The sequence below is a fragment of the Homo sapiens genome, chromosome 3 (genome assembly GCF_000001405.40).
Source record: "Homo sapiens chromosome 3, GRCh38.p14 Primary Assembly".
Taxonomy (NCBI): domain Eukaryota; kingdom Metazoa; phylum Chordata; class Mammalia; order Primates; family Hominidae; genus Homo; species Homo sapiens.
In genome coordinates this window covers 38896215-38912604 of record NC_000003.12, presented here as the reverse complement: position 1 = coordinate 38912604, position 16390 = coordinate 38896215, and the positions used below count along the sequence as shown (strand labels likewise).

The window sequence follows — 16390 nt, the reverse complement described above, 5'->3', positions numbered from 1 at the left end:
TAACTGTTGGGTACTAGGCTTAGTACCTAGGTGATGAAATAATCTGTACAACAAGCCCCTGTGACATGAGTTTACCTATATAACAAACCTGCACATGTACGCCAGAACCTAAAATAATAGGTAAAAATAAATAAATAGAAAGAAAAAAATTTGGAGATTGAAGAGGGGATGTTGGTGTGTATTTGTGCATACAAAGCCATGTGTAAGAGAGTGGCGGGAAGTGCAAAGGAGAGAAAACTGTTACAGATGCTTCTCATATCAGTGTGAGTGAGTGATAATGTCATTAGCTGAGATGGGGATGCTGGCGGAGAGGCTTAATCACCTGTATAAGTTGATGAGAGGGTGCACCCAGAGAGGAGGAGATTGAACAAAACAGGCTTATATTTTGAATGGTGACCAAGAAATGAGGGAGATTAAATATGGTAGGTCCATCCTCAGCAGACTCCTGGAAGTTAGAGGGCACTGGGACTTCACAGAATTTCCTCCAGGTCTGGTGAGAAAGAGGGCACAATGGATGCCCTCCTCCTCAGTCAACCTAAAGCAAAACCTACCACTCACAAATTCCCACTCTGCCCACCAGGCAAATCCCAATCAGCTTGTCAGGTCCTCTGATTAAAACACATGAACAGCTCAGGCTCACCAGGCATCTGAAGAAAATCTTTGGTAAAAAGGAGGCCAAGATAAAGCCACAGAAAATGTGGCCATGAACAAAACAAGAGAACCAGAAAGGGCTCTGAAAACTTTGAATAGTGTCCTTGGTGAAATTAAAAGAGATATTATATACATAAAACAAAAAGCAGCTTGTTGTGAAAAAAGAACAGCAAAAAAAGAAACTTATTAGAAATTAAACATTATTACACAAAAATCAACATTAGAACTAAAAGATAAAGTTGACGAAATAGCCCCGAAAGTAGGAAAAAGAGAACAGAAAATTTGAGAGTAAATGTCAATTCAAAAGTCCCAACTTTTGACTAAGTAGGAATTCTACAACTAGAGCACTGATTAAACAAAAGGGAGGAAATTAGTGAAGAAATGATGCAGAGAATTTACCTGGGACTAAAGATGCAAGTCCCTCAGTGCTCCAGAAAGTACCCAACACAGTGAATGAGAAAGGACCATGCCAAGGACATTATCATGGCATTTCAGAACTTTTTGGAAAAAGATTTTAAAACTAATGGGCAAAAGAAGGTCACCCAAAAAGGAACAAAAATCAAACTGGCATAAGAATTCTTAATAGCAACACAGGATAATAACTGAGCAGTGCTTTCATATTGCTAAGGAAAAACTTCCAACTCAGAATTCTATTTCTGGCCAAACTACCAATTGATTGTGAAAATGGAATAAATATATATTCATATATGCAAAGATTACACAATCTTCTTAAGAAGCTAATTGACAAGTGCTCCAGAAGAATGAGGGAGTAAAACATAAAAAAGCAACATGAAAAAGCCAAGAAAAAATGTCTACCATAGCAAGAAGTTAATCAACACGAACTACAATTGATAAATCAAATATCAGTGTAAGCACTATTTAGATATACGGAGGTAGAAGAGTTAACAGTTGTTGAATTTGGGGTGTATAAATGACAGTTAAAGAATTATACAATTGATTTCATTATAAGCTTTTTGGTGCATGTAATTTTTAAGCCATGTGCATGTATTACTTTGATTAAAATACTATTTATTAAAAAACTAAGAAATACATACCCTTAGTACATCTTATAGATACACTCAATAATTTGTGTTTTGGTAATATGTGAAAAGACCTATGTTCAAAGATATTCATTGCCCAAATGTTTGTAAGAGTGAAGGACTGTCAATTACTGAAACCTAAATATTCATCATTAGCAGAGCAGTTAAATAAATCATAGAACTATAGACATGAAAAGAAATAAGATATCTCCCTGTATGGTGATATGAAAAGAGCTCTGAACTATATTGTTCCATTAAAAAAAGCAAGGTGCAGGAGAGTGCAAAGCATGTTCCCATTTTTGTGTATTATAAAAGTTGTGTGTAGATATAGATGTGCTGTATAGTCATAGCAAACTTCTGGAAATTTACAAAAGTAACTGTTAACTATTGCCTCTAAGAAGTGGGATCAGGAAACTGGGAAGAGAGGAAGACTTAATATTCATTGTATGTGCTTTTATACTATTCATTGTTCACGTGTCACTGTACTCAATTTTTCAATGAAAAACTATCTTATATGAATTTATTAATCAGTTCATTAGCAAAAGAGTCTTGTCAGACAGTGCAGTGGGCCACTTTACAAATACTCCCTTCCTCTAGGGCTCCTGGTGTGATCCCACAGCCCTTGGAAAAACCAGAGTCGTTGGAAGGAAAAAGAAGCTTGGCTGTGGCGTACATAATTATTTCTCTGTTTGTTTCCAATATCTAGTGCCTGTTCCATACAATATGAATGTAAGCACACCAAAATTAATCCTGACTATAATTATACGAATTTTGACAACTTTGGCTGGTCTTTTCTTGCCATGTTCCGGCTGATGACCCAAGATTCCTGGGAGAAGCTTTATCAACAGGTTATCTATTTATAGTCTCTCTTTTTCCTCTCTCCCTCCCTCCATCCTTTTCCTTCCCCCTCTATCACTTACCTATTTATTTACCATTTATTTATAACTACCATTCATCCCCCACTTTTATCATCTGTCTCATCTTTAACAGTTGTACTGTTAAATTCTGCCTTACTAATTCTGTTAGAAACTTCAAGAAAATTGGCCAGGCACGCTGACTCCCGCCTGTAATCCTAGCACTTTGGAAGGCTGAGGCTTGAGGTCAGGAGTTTGAGACCAGCCTGGCCAACATGGTGAAACCCCAACTCTACTAAAAATACAAAAATTAGCAGGGCATGGTGACAGGTGCCTGTAATCCCCACTACTTGGAAAGATGAGGCAGGAGAATCACTTGAACCTAGGAGGCGGAGGTTGCAATGAGCCGAGATCACACCACTGCACTCCAGCCTGGGTGATAGAGTGAAACTCCGTCTCAAAAAAAAAAAAAAAAAGAAACTTCAAGAAAATTTTAAATGCAATATTTGGAAGAAGACTCCAAAGAACCCCTCCTCTTCCTAGAAATGTTAGCCCCCTCCAGATTCCCTACTGCCCTATCTCTCTTGCCACTTTTATTTTAAAAATGCAGATACTCTTGAGAGAGTTATAGATAGTAAAGTCACTGAAACTTCCATGTGAAGGTGTGGATAGTATCTCCCCACTGAGAGATAGGGCATCAGGAATCCCTGGAGTATTAGGGAAGCTATATGGTCTGTGGTCAACTGAGCCCACCAGTGCTGGGGGAAGACCAGTTGTCTGCTACTGTGTGGTTTTTGCTTGAGGTGATGGTCACTTTCCTGTGGAAGAAGGTTTGATATTCAAGAACATGCTCTGTCCTTTGCAGACCCTGCGTACTACTGGGCTCTACTCAGTCTTCTTCTTCATTGTGGTCATTTTCCTGGGCTCCTTCTACCTGATTAACTTAACCCTGGCTGTTGTTACCATGGCATATGAGGAGCAGAACAAGAATGTAGCTGCAGAGATAGAGGCCAAGGAAAAGATGTTTCAGGAAGCCCAGCAGCTGTTAAAGGAGGAAAAGGAGGTAGGGACATGGGGTCAGACAGTGGGATCTGCTCTGGGGAGGGGAAGGGGTCCCCAGAGGCAATGTGACCTGAGACTCAAGGCTGCCACCCTTGGCCTGGTCTCAGTGCTTTCTCTACTGGTGCTTTTCTGAGAATATAAGTCCCTCGAAGAATGGCTGTGCTGCTATCTTTCACAAAATTGTCCAGGCACCAGGCCCTTCAAAACGGGGAACGCTTGGTCTTGATGCTTTTTGACCTTCTGAAGTCTAAGCCTTCTAAGACATGCCCTAAATTACTGACTAGACGATACAACATAAGTATATGTAAATCCAGGCTGTGCTCCAGGCTTTCTTTTGGAAATCTGGAGATGTTTGTGTTCGGCGCCTTTGCTTGAGGTGGACTCTAGAATAATGTTCACCTCTCCCTGTCTGCAATCCTTGTCTTATTTATAGGCCATTCTAATAGTTTCCTTGGAATCTTTACATTCTTCCAGCTCAAGTCTCAGATTTTCAGGACAGGGACCATGTTTTATACTCGCACTGATCCTCTATAAGATTTGTCAGAAGGATGCCCATCGTAAGTGCTTAACATCTGCACTATCAGGCATAAGTATTTATTGAGTGCCTAGCGCATACTGGACACTGTGCTAAGGGGCAGTGACACAGAGATATGAAAGAGTCAATGCTGCTTTTGGTGGCTGCAATTTCTGTGCAAAAACAGGACATGTTTCCCCAGATAAATAACAGAGCTAGCGTAGTCCAGGTAGATGATGAGCAATTTAAATGATACAGAGCTACCAGAAGAGAGATTTTCACCACTCTCAGGTCGGGGTCATTTGCAATGTTTCATGAGGAGGTGTAATCTGTTCTTTAATTGCTTTTGTTCAATTTGAAGGCTCTGGTTGCCATGGGAATTGACAGAAGTTCACTTACTTCCCTTGAAACATCATATTTTACCCCAAAAAAGAGAAAGCTCTTTGGTAATAAGAAAAGGAAGTCCTTCTTTTTGAGAGAGTCTGGGAAAGACCAGCCTCCTGGGTCAGATTCTGATGAAGATTGCCAAAAAAAGGTAAGTCTTTTCCAGGGAATTAATGATACCATATTGCTGTCCAGGGGGACAGGTCCAATTGCCAATCAAATTGAAATAATTCATTTATTCAGTTACTCATTTATTCATTCATCCATTTGCACATACTTTCATGCATCCATGTGTCTTTTCAATTATCCATTTATTTGTAAACATCAATTTAGAGTGTTTACAGTGTTTACTATCTTCTTGGCACTGGGATAGGTGCTAGGGATACATGTTTTATACTCCACAGAGTGTACGGCTAATGATGAAGATATACTGATAAGAAGGCAGTTATGAGTCAGTGTGATGACTGATGTGCTGATTGCTGTGGGAGAACAGAGGAGGAACTATGTGTCAGTGTGGGCTCCCTCTGAAGCAAACCCAAAGACATTACAATGCAAGTAGATTATTTGGGAAGTGATCCCAGGAAGCACTGGGAAAGGAGGGAAGAAGTGCTATATGGAATGGAAGGTAACCAATGAAGATGCATTATCAAGCCAGTTACCACTGAAGCCAGGTAGTTGGAGTTTAATCCTTCCAAAGTAAGGGCATCAAAGTGTGTGTGTGTGTGTGTGTGTGTGTGTGTGTATATATAGATATATACACACACACACACACACACACACACACACACATATATGTTGGTATATATATACCAACTTTGGACCATCATAGATTAAAGATTGCTGAAGACAGAAGACAATAATTTCCCTCTAATTTCCTACTTGCTGTGCACTAAGGAAGACAGGATTTGAATCATTAGAGAAAGTCCTCAAGTAAGGACATATGGGTGGGAAAACCAACAGCATCCAGAATTCATGGGGCCTGGGGGAAAAGCAATGGAAAAGGGTCCCCAGAAGATGCAGTGTGTCAGCTGAAAGGATGAATTCACCAGTAAAAGGAAAAAGAGAGCATTACCTGCAGAGAGAATAGAATGTGCAAAAGCCTAGAAGCGAAGGCAAGCAGGAGAACATGACCCATTAGAAAACTTGCCAGTGTGTGTGTATGCGCGTGCACGCACGCTCATGCATGCACATGTGTGATGAGGCTGGGGGAGGGTGGGTGGCACAAGGCTATAGTGATCAGTTGGGGGATCACAAAAGACCTCGAAAACAAAGCTAGAGAGTTTACCCTTTTCAATGAGGGCTAAGGGTAAAGAGCATTGAAAGGTTTATATAAGAGAGGGATATGACTGGATTTATGAAATTCTGGATGCATTGAAGACAGGGGATTGGAGGAGGGCAAAACTGGAGGCGACCAGTTAAGAGGCTGTTGCAGTAACCAAGTAAGAGGTGCCTGTGGCTTAAACCAGGGTTAGGGAAGTGAGGATGAAGAGCAATTAACAGACGACCGTGATCTGGAGAAGATAAAATTTAGCAGTTGACTTGATGGACAGTGTGGGGATAAGACCTGGTTTCCGACATGATTAGCTAACTTGATGGAGGGTAATTTATGGAGACAGGAAAGGTACACATTTTGGGAGTGGAAAGATGGCTCATTCAGTTTTGAATGTGCCAATTTCCAGATGCTTATGGGACCTCCAAGCAGGGATGTTGATTAGGCAGCGTGATGTGCAGAAATGAAGCTGGTGGTGGGGGAGGGATGGGCAGCAGAAAAAGTTATTCTTATCATTAAGGAGGGGGATGTTCAGACATATTTTAATTGTCCAGAGAAAAGTCAGAAGAGAGGAAGATGCTAAAGATACAGGTAAAGATGGCAAGAGCCACTTTCCTGAGATAGAGGGAGATGTAGTAGGTAGAAGGTGGATATGTATGCCTGATAATGTGGTGGGGAAAGGGAATTGAGAGGCCTTTGCAGAAGTAGGTAGAAGGATCCCATCCACTGCTATGATCAGTTCTCTGCTGTAGTAATAGGGAGAGATCTCATAGAAAGACTATCTAGATTGGCTTATCACAAAAAAGATAGTTCCCTCTGGGGCTCTGGTGAGTCGGAACCCTTGGAAAATAAGCCACTAGGAAAACCCAAATTTTCTGGATAGCTGGAGGTTTGCACTGTTTAATTCCAGTAACTTTAGAATTGTAGGTAGATGTGAGAGAGTGAGCTAGCCCTTGGGCCCAGCTTGAGAGTGTGTTTGAGGTTTAGGATCTAGATTTTGTGATATTTAGTGGGACTGTTCTTTTTAGTTACCAACCGTTTTAAAAACCGTATAGGCGGTTGTTCACTTCACAACTGCAGCTAGCACTTCACAATCTGGCTCCAGTCCACCTTTCTAAATTTATACTCCACTTCTTACCTTTAAACATTGTTTACAAATTGGATTTTGTATTGCTTTCATACCCGGAACCATTGCTTACTAGTTTTTGTAAAATTTTGTTTGCTCTTTGTTGGCAGTGAATGAAACACAGAGAAAGTAAAATGTCTGTAGGTAGGACTCTAGAAATGTGCATGCATAGGAAATATGAATGATCAAACCAGATTTCTCTTATTTGTTAAACATGAAATAAGAAAACTGAATATTTGGCATGCTGTAAAGACGAGGTGAGTAGACCTATAGAAAATGTTGAGCACTTTCATTACATGTAGCATTGGAACAAAGTAGTTTGTTAAGTTTTGAGGAGAGGCAGCCCCTGTCTTTAGAAGGTGCCCTATGCCTTCTCTTACAGCCACAGCTCCTAGAGCAAACCAAACGACTGTCCCAGAATCTATCACTGGACCACTTTGATGAGCATGGAGATCCTCTCCAAAGGCAGAGAGCACTGAGTGCTGTCAGCATCCTCACCATCACCATGAAGGGTAAGTTCCACATCCCAATCCAAGGGAAAGTCTACTTCAGTGATGTCCTTCCATTCTTCTTCTTCCCAATCCCCTAGAAGCCCTCTGCAAAGGAGGCTGTTTTGGAACCAACCCACTGTACCATCCTGCAAAGAGTGACTTCCTTTGCCTCTTTGGAGCATGTAAACAAAGTGGCTCACAAGAAGCAGACCTTCCCTGTGGGCCCACTCTAAACTGGCACCTGGGTAGAGGTGGAAGCTGGCTAGACTTGGGATGGGACTTCAGACAAAATGCATAAACAGGGCCTCAAACCAGGCCTGGGAGTCACAAGAGATCCAAGTGACAACAATAGTCAGTCAAAGAACAGAAGACTTTGAAGTCTCCAGGAGGTGGCAGTTGTTATTGAAGTTAGAGTCAGAAACCCCACATGGGCAATAGAAGACCTATGTAGAAAGGCTGGAGCCATCTGATGGACCAGATTAATAGCAGGTAACAGGACCCCACCCCAGGGGTTGGTGTTCAGGAGCAGGATTTACTCCCTGCAAGGGGGGTCAAATAGGTCCTCTAGCACTTTTAAGCCTACTGCATCATCTCGTTTGCCCTGCATGTGTCCCTGCAGCGGTGCCAGGGAAATCAGGGATGGTCTGAACTCAACTAGAGGATAGAGTCCCTTTTACTGTTTCAGTGCTTATAGATGCCCCTTCCCTTGAGCCCTGGTTGCCCCTTTTGCCTCTGTTACAGCTGACCTTATGGTCTGTCTTGAGTGGACATAACTTGTGCCTGTATCTATCTCTCTCTTGGATTCACAGCCAGCCAATGTTGATTTCCACATCTATATATCTAACATCAAAGCTCAGCTCCTGGATGCTCAGTAAGAGTGTAAATATTTGATGGACTTGACTGTACCGCATGCTAGTTGTATGTGGAACATTGTCTCTTCTGCACTAAGATTGGTGGAAAAACCTTTCTGACTACACAAATCAAAACATTTCACAACTGATCATGTATCAGGAGGCCCTGGGGAAGAGGGAGGAAGGAATGCACTCAGGCAAAGGGCATCTGGATTGCTTCAGAGCTAACTCCTCAACCTCTCGCTCATTCTCCTCCAGAACAAGAAAAATCACAAGAGCCTTGTCTCCCTTGTGGAGAAAACCTGGCATCCAAGTACCTCGTGTGGAACTGTTGCCCCCAGTGGCTGTGCGTTAAGAAGGTCCTGAGAACTGTGATGACTGACCCGTTTACTGAGCTGGCCATCACCATCTGCATCATCATCAACACTGTCTTCTTGGCCATGGAGCATCACAAGATGGAGGCCAGTTTTGAGAAGATGTTGAATATAGGGAATTTGGTAACATTACACTTTTTAAAAATAAAAAACATATTTCATACTTTAAAGTATAACTTTTTCAAAGTCTAAACATTTTGTGAATGAGCTAACCTAACCTAGGTTTTTGGTCCCCTTCAGTGGAGTGAGGGAAAAGATGGCTGTTACGGTTTTACTTTTACCCGGTTCATTTCAGAAACTGTCCATGTGTCCTGAGTTGGCCCTCTGGTATGTTCAGGTATCTCTTTAGCCATTCAGTGGTAAGCCAGATACAAGCAGACATCCTAAAAGTTCAGCTCTCTGAGATAATCAAGAAAATGTTAACCATATCCAGAGAACCGTGGTAATGGCTGTTGTGGTCCCAGTGATATTCATGACATCATTTGTCACAAAATAATGTGACTACTATTACTAGGTGTTATTCTCCCTGGAAAGATGAATCAGGGCCTGTCAGCTGTGGAAGTTTCACTTTTTTGGAAGGGGTTGTTTGGGGGTTGGTCAGGCTGGGGTGGGGTGAATTTCCAGACTTGAGCCTGCTTCAATATGTTTCTCATTGGATAGATCTAGTCTCAGTTAAATTGGGAAAACTAAGGGGAGCAGACTTTTCAAGGACTGTTCACTTCAGTTTATGGTTCTTGTGGAAGGCATTTTTCTCAAGGAAAAATTAGTCCCTCGAATATCAGAAACAACAAATAATTGCCCACGGGATGATCTACCCTAATTAGCTGATGGATTAATGAGCTAAAAACCTTACCAGAATGTCTAGCCTTTTCTTCTTAAACTTTTGTTTTATCTTTCTAATTTAAAAAATAATAAATGCTGTTTTATTTTTTAAAAATAAGGAAAAATATAAATAAGGGAAATAGAAGAAATTCATGTCCCATGTACCTGCTGACAAAGATGATCATTTTTAGCATTGCAGAATATTTGCAAGCTTTATGTAAGCATGTATGTATGTGTGTATGTATTTTTATTTAGTGTTATTTTTTCTCCTTTTTTGGCATTTTTTTTTTTGTGATGTCTTTTTACATGTCTTTAAAAAATTTGTTTTACATTGTTAAGAACCCACTGCAGCCGAGCACAGTGGCTCACGCCTGTAATCCCAACACTTTGGGAGGCCGAGGCAGGCAGATCATGAGGTCAGGAGATCAAGACCATCCTGGCTAACACGGTGAAACCCCATCTCTACTAAAAATACAAAAATTTAGCCGGGCATGGTGGCAGGCGCCTGTAGTCCCAACTACTCAGGAGGCTGAGGCTGGAGAATGGTGTGAACCAGGGAGGCGGATCTTGCAGTGAGCCGAGATCGTGCCACTGCACTCCAGCCTGGGTGACAAAGTGAGACTCCATCTCAAAAAAAAAAAAAGAACCCACTGCACTAGAGTCAGGTACCTGTCATCCTTAGTTCCACATCCCTCCACAAGGAGCAGTGATACAGTGGAACTGTAGTATAAAACCAGGGTGGTTCTCCTCACAGGCAGTCTGCACATAGCACATAAATTCCTTTCTCCATGCTGCCTTTGGGAATAAATGCTTTGTGGGTGTGAATGGGTTAGACTAGATTCCATGCTGCTTGACAAACCTAACACATAGTTGCTTGTAACAGATCAGGGTCTCCTGGCCATGTATTCAGCTATCCTCTGCTGAGGCATCTCAGAAATGAGCTGAAATTGTTTCAGTTGAAGGCAGCAAGCTGTGTCTATAGGGGCATGGTCAGCAGACTCCACCTTTTAGCACCTCCTGGTGGAATGGAGTTACTGAATAAGTTGTAGAGAATACTCAAAAACCCAGAGTCATCTCTGTGGACAGGGCTTCCCAATTGCAGTGGTGATCTGTTTTCATCTGCTGGTCCAAATTTAGAAAATGAGAAAAACCCCCATCTCAGATTTACCACTGACTAGACATCCTGAGTGTGGAGGTGAAGCTACATTTTGCAGTTGGAAACTGAGTGATTGACATTCTTCTTCACTTCCTCCAGAGCAGGAGGAGCCACAGGGCCACAGGGACATTGTTGTTTTCCAAGTACACAGGCAGCAGCTGCACCCTAGCTCCTAAAAATTGGCAGGAAATATGTAGAACCATACACATAGCTTGTGTTTCCATTCCATGGGCCTACTCCCTGGACATACAATACCAAAATGGCAGCCACACTATTTACTGCTCCCATGGTAGTAGTGGTGGAGAGAAGCCTTGGAGTCTTAAGTTCCAAGGAGCACATCAAAACTTCCCTCCTCTGATGCATGGGCCAGGATTAAGCCACTCTGTAGAGTTCTGCAGGACTGGACTAGAAAATTAACTCTCTAGGGTAGAGATTGCTCTAATCAGAGGGATACACTGAATGCCAAGAAGCCATAAAGAAAAGTTGGATTGAATTGACAAAACAATGGTCCCAAGGTATCTGGTGATGCTGTAGAGCTTGATGCCTAAAGCCTAAAGGAGATACAAGAAGGAGGAGTGAGTCAAAAGAGGTGGGGATGACTACACAATTATCTAGGACAGGCATCACTGTATGCTTTTAGATACTGGTGGTGACACTGAGCAGGAGTAGATGGCAGTATTTAAAGGGGGAATATGAAAATAAACTTGAATTTTCTTTGTAACTCTTGATTTATTTTTATTTTTCTACCCTGGATTTATCTTTGCTATCCTTTTGTCTTTAACTTTTGCCATTTTATTTCAGGCATTTTTAAAAATAAATAGTAAATCATTGAATCATTTATAAAAATAGATAATCCATTATTTTTAATAATCGAATTTAGTCGTTTATAGGTTCCCCCCAGAATTGTAGTAGACAGTTTTATAACAATCCTTGTAAAGACTTTAATCCTTTTAATATTACCTTATTATTTTTGTATTCTTGCTTTTTTCATTTCTATTTATTTGTGTTTGTATGTGATAAGACTGTGCTGTTTGCCGTGAAGAAATTATTTGCTTTATTTTTTGCAAAGATATGGAAGACAGATTTATTTTTTAATTGGCTACTACATTCAACATTTTTACATATTTCTTAAGCTTGTATTTATCTGATTATTGAAGACAAAGACAAAACTATTTTGCCCATGGAAAATACAAAATTCAGTACTTTTTGTAATTCCTGCCTCTCCTTTTTATTCTTTGATATTTTGTTCTGGAAATGTGAGCCCTGCATTCTGAATGAGTTTTAGGATTATATTCTGATTCACTAATTCTCCTTTCAACCATAACAAATTTAAGGCTTATCCCATATATTGAGTTGCTCAAAGACTTTTTTTTTTTTTTTTTGCCCCTGGAAGTGTTTTCTAATTCTATGATCTGTGCCCCTTTTTTGTTTTTATTTTTAATTTTTCTGATCAAGGTGTTGAAATTAGGTGGTCAGGTGAACTCCTCCTGGATTCTAGTTTATGGGGGATAATTATCCTTAGTTTTCAGGGCTATTGTTTACATTCCTTCTCTCCCTATTTTAATTGTTTTAATTGGTATTCTAAAGAGAATTCAGAGGAGAAATTGCCTGACACTCTGTCACCCTGCCATCTACCAGTAATACCATTTTGCTTTATCTTCAACAGAATGAGAAATAATATTCATTTTCCATTCTGGTGTCTGTGAGCTTGGTTACATTGCTCTGGGCACCATGGAGAGGGATGGAGAGAGGAGCAAAGTCATAGTGAGGTTCATGCTACAATAGTAAATATTTCTATTGCATGGACTTTAGGGTATAGTGTGTCAATCATGAGAATACTTTTCATTTCATTGTAACCTCTGTACTTCCCTTGGGCCATTCTTAAAAGTGTTATCTCCGCAGCTTCCTTCTCTCATTCTTCTTTGTCCCACTCTAGGTTTTCACTAGCATTTTTATAGCAGAAATGTGCCTAAAAATCATTGCGCTCGATCCCTACCACTACTTTCGCCGAGGCTGGAACATTTTTGACAGCATTGTTGCTCTTCTGAGTTTTGCAGATGTAATGAACTGTGTACTTCAAAAGAGAAGCTGGCCATTCTTGCGTTCCTTCAGAGTGGTAAGGCACTTTCTTATTTTACTGCATAAACGTAGCTGCCTAAGTGGAAAAAACGTTTTGAGTGAGTTCAGTGGTTATCTTGTACTAAACTTTAATTTATCTTACCTTAACCCCAGAACCAAAACTGCACTCCTCTTCCTGCACAGGTCTTTAATAGTCTTGCAAGTCCCTGGGGGGACTTCGCTTAACTGAACCCTTATACCCTTAGCCCATTCCTGCCAGAGATGACCCTTTAGGCAACTGGGTACAAAATTGTGTCTCCCAGTGTGAGGACTCTGTTCCTTGCTCTGTGCACAACCCTTCCGACACTCTTTTTTTCCCATGGAGCTGTGAGGCAATAAATAAATAAGGGAAAATATTCCTATCTTTCAGGTCATATTGGGCTCGCCAAGGGGGGCAAAGACTATAGAATGCCGGGGAGGAATGCAGGGGAGCTGATGGCAGGTGCTATCTATCTCACAAGTTTCCTTCTCACTGCTGCCAGTGCTACATTTCTGTTCTGTAGTCTTTGCCTGCTATCCAGTTTGGAAGCATTCTGGAAACCTTTACAAAGTACCTAATATAAACTGACATGAGGGAAGGCACAAAGGATGAGGAAATCATTGTCTTTGAGAAGGTTGCAGCACAGGAGTGATACAAGACTGGGCTACATGCACAGTACAGTGTGACAGAGCCCAGGAAAGGTATAGACAGAGGACTACAGAGAAATCCAATCTGAGAAGGGGAACTAGAAAACCTCCAAGGTGGGATTTTGTCCCCTTTCAAAGATATTTACCTTTTTTTTTCAGATAGGATTTTTAAGCCTATAGAGTAAGACACCTCATTCAGTTACCTAAATGTACATTTTATATTTTTTATACTTGGGATATAGTAAGAGGTTACACTGCTCAAAGTCAGGTGTTATTAAGCTTTCCTACTAATGTTTTATTAGCACTCAGGTAAGCAAAATTGCATTTGCTTTATCATTGTTTAGGCTTATTACAGCCAGGCTCTAATGCACGGAAATCTGTGGCATTGTCTCTGTATGAGAATGGAACCACAGGTTTTTCCTGGGATGCTCCTAGCTCCCCTTTGAGTAGACAATGACAGTCCTCTTCAAGCAGAAGCCTTACTGACCTGCAACATTTCCATCCCCAAATAGGGGATGTGCTTAACAAAATTGTACTTTGGAGTAAAACCGTCAGTTTATATCAAAAGTTAATATAAGAAACAACCTATAAAACAAGTTGCTATGTTTTCTCTAAGGTTGTTTCCTATAAAGTCCGTGAAGATCTAGGATAAAATTTCTCTGTGGAAAAAGTATACAAGTCTTGAATAGCTGGTTGCCTTTTCTCTCCTGACTACAAATGCCATATTACTCTAATCATTCTTATGAGGCTTAGATTCAGACTCGTGGCCTGAATTATATAATGCAGAAGTTAGCAAACTTTTTCTGTAAAGGGCCACATGGTAAATGTTTTCAGCCTTACAGGCTGTGTGGTCTGTGTGGCAACCGTTAAACTTTGCCATTGTAGCACAAAAGAAGCCATAGACTTTCAAAAACCAGTGAGCATGGCTATGTTCCAATAAACTTTATTTATGGATGCTGAAACTTGAACTTCATATGATTTTAATGCATCATGAAATATCCTTTTGATTATTGTTATTTTCTTTTTTGAGACAGAGTTTGGCTCTGTTGCCCAGGCTGGAGTACAGTGGCGTGATCTCAGCTCACTGCAACCTCTGCCTCCCAGGCTCAAGCCATCCTCCCTCGTCAGCCTCCCGAGTAGCTGGGACTACAGACGCACACCACCACGCCTGGCTAATTTTTGTATTTTTTGTAGAGATGGGGGTTTCACCATGTTGCCCAGGCTGGTCTTGAACTCTCCTGTGCTCAAGCGATCACCCACCTCAGTCTCCCAAAGTGCTGGGATTACAGATGAGAGCCACTGTGCCTGGCCTGATTATTTTTCAATCATTTAAATGTGGAAAAGTATTCTTGTCTCTGAGGTCATACAAAAATAGGCAATGGACTGTATTTGGCTCTCAGGCCAGAGTTCGCTGACGCTTGGTATATTACATATAATTCCAAAATATTCATTTTATATAATAATTATGTAGCTCAGTCACCATGCTGATCCCAAAGTCCTTAATGATTAAAAAACTAAAACAAAATATTTCCTTTTTTTTTTTTTTTTATGAGATGGAGTCTTGCTCTGTCTCCAGGCTGGAGTGCAATGGCGCAATCTCAGCTCACTGCAACCTCTGACTCACAGGTTCAAGCGATTCCCCTGCCTCAGCCTCCCGAGTAGCTGGGACTACAGGCATGCGCCACCATGCCCAGCTAATTTTTTTGTATTTTAGTAGAGACGGGGTTTCACCATGTTGGCCAGGATGGTCTCAATCTCCTGACCTTGTGATCCACCCGCCTTGGCCTCCCAAAGTGCTGGGATTACAGGCGTGAGCCACTGTGCCCGGCCAATGTTTCCATTTTCAAATAAGAAAGTAGATACAGGTGAGCATTAGATTATGACAGCGATCTGATGGCTATGTTCAGGATAGATTTAACTTTGAAGAGAGTTTTGGATGTCATAAGTTTGGGTATATGTCATTTGCTTTATAGATGAGCAGATGGAGTTTGTCCTTAACTGGCTTTTCTTCCATTTTTGTTTGTTGTCTTTTTCTACAGCTCAGGGTCTTCAAGTTAGCCAAATCCTGGCCAACTTTGAACACACTAATTAAGATAATCGGCAACTCTGTCGGAGCCCTTGGAAGCCTGACTGTGGTCCTGGTCATTGTGATCTTTATTTTCTCAGTAGTTGGCATGCAGCTTTTTGGCCGTAGCTTCAATTCCCAAAAGAGTCCAAAACTCTGTAACCCGACAGGCCCGACAGTCTCATGTTTACGGCACTGGCACATGGGGGATTTCTGGCACTCCTTCCTAGTGGTATTCCGCATCCTCTGCGGGGAATGGATCGAAAATATGTGGGAATGTATGCAAGAAGCGAATGCATCATCATCATTGTGTGTTATTGTCTTCATATTGATCACGGTGATAGGAAAACTTGTGGTATGTGTCTTAGATTTTTTTCAAAAAAAAAAAAAAGATCCTACATGCCTCTCAAATGCATTACTTCATTTGCAAAACTTTACTAGTAAAAATTATTATTCTAAATATAATGCCAAATAAATATTTGAAATATTCATTCAAATTTTGTTTGAGAAAAGTATGATAAGCATGAAAAAACCTCTTTGACACATATTACTCATTTGACTGATGCCCCCAAATTTATTTTATTCCAGATGATTATTCTAAGACAATAGTATTCTCTTCCCCAGTGATTGGCTGAAATAGGAGTTAGTGAGTTAATTTGGTCAATAGGATGTAAAGAGATGTCCACTGGAGCAATTTGGGAACAATCTTTTGTTCTTAAGAAATATGTGTTTTTAAAAAATGATCGTTTTACTTCCTCTGGGCTTTTTTATGACTGTGACCCCTGGAAAAGCCAGATCATGAGCTTAGAGCTGTGGTGGAATTGCCCACAGGAATATGGATCTGACATCCAGGACTGCTGTGCAATCCTCTCCTGTTTGCACGAATTGAGAGATGGTGTACTTTGTGCAGTGTCTTTAGGTCCCTGTTCCCCTAACTTCAATGAGGTATTGGGGCCTAGCCAGAGGGGTTTGGACCAAACCTGCA

General features: G+C 40.9%; 1 protein-coding gene across 7 annotated transcripts in view; it reads left to right on the top strand.

The window, feature by feature from the left end:
- The window catches only part of SCN11A (sodium voltage-gated channel alpha subunit 11), a 206181-nt gene that overhangs the window by 139340 nt on the left and 50451 nt on the right, over positions 1 to 16390 (top strand). For 6 of the 7 annotated variants that reach the window (NM_001349253.2, XM_047447378.1, XM_017005650.2 and 3 more), the window contains 7 exons: positions 2398 to 2539; positions 3411 to 3608; positions 4483 to 4656; positions 7284 to 7413; positions 8502 to 8740; positions 12532 to 12711; positions 15380 to 15760. In NM_001349253.2, the coding sequence (NP_001336182.1) occupies positions 2398 to 2539; positions 3411 to 3608; positions 4483 to 4656; positions 7284 to 7413; positions 8502 to 8740; positions 12532 to 12711; positions 15380 to 15760 (1444 nt within the window). Of the gene's footprint in view, positions 1 to 2397; positions 2540 to 3410; positions 3609 to 4482; positions 4657 to 6863; positions 7159 to 7283; positions 7414 to 8501; positions 8741 to 12531; positions 12712 to 15379; positions 15761 to 16390 lie in introns of those variants that run through there. The other variant, XM_017005653.2, reaches the window with a different exon arrangement.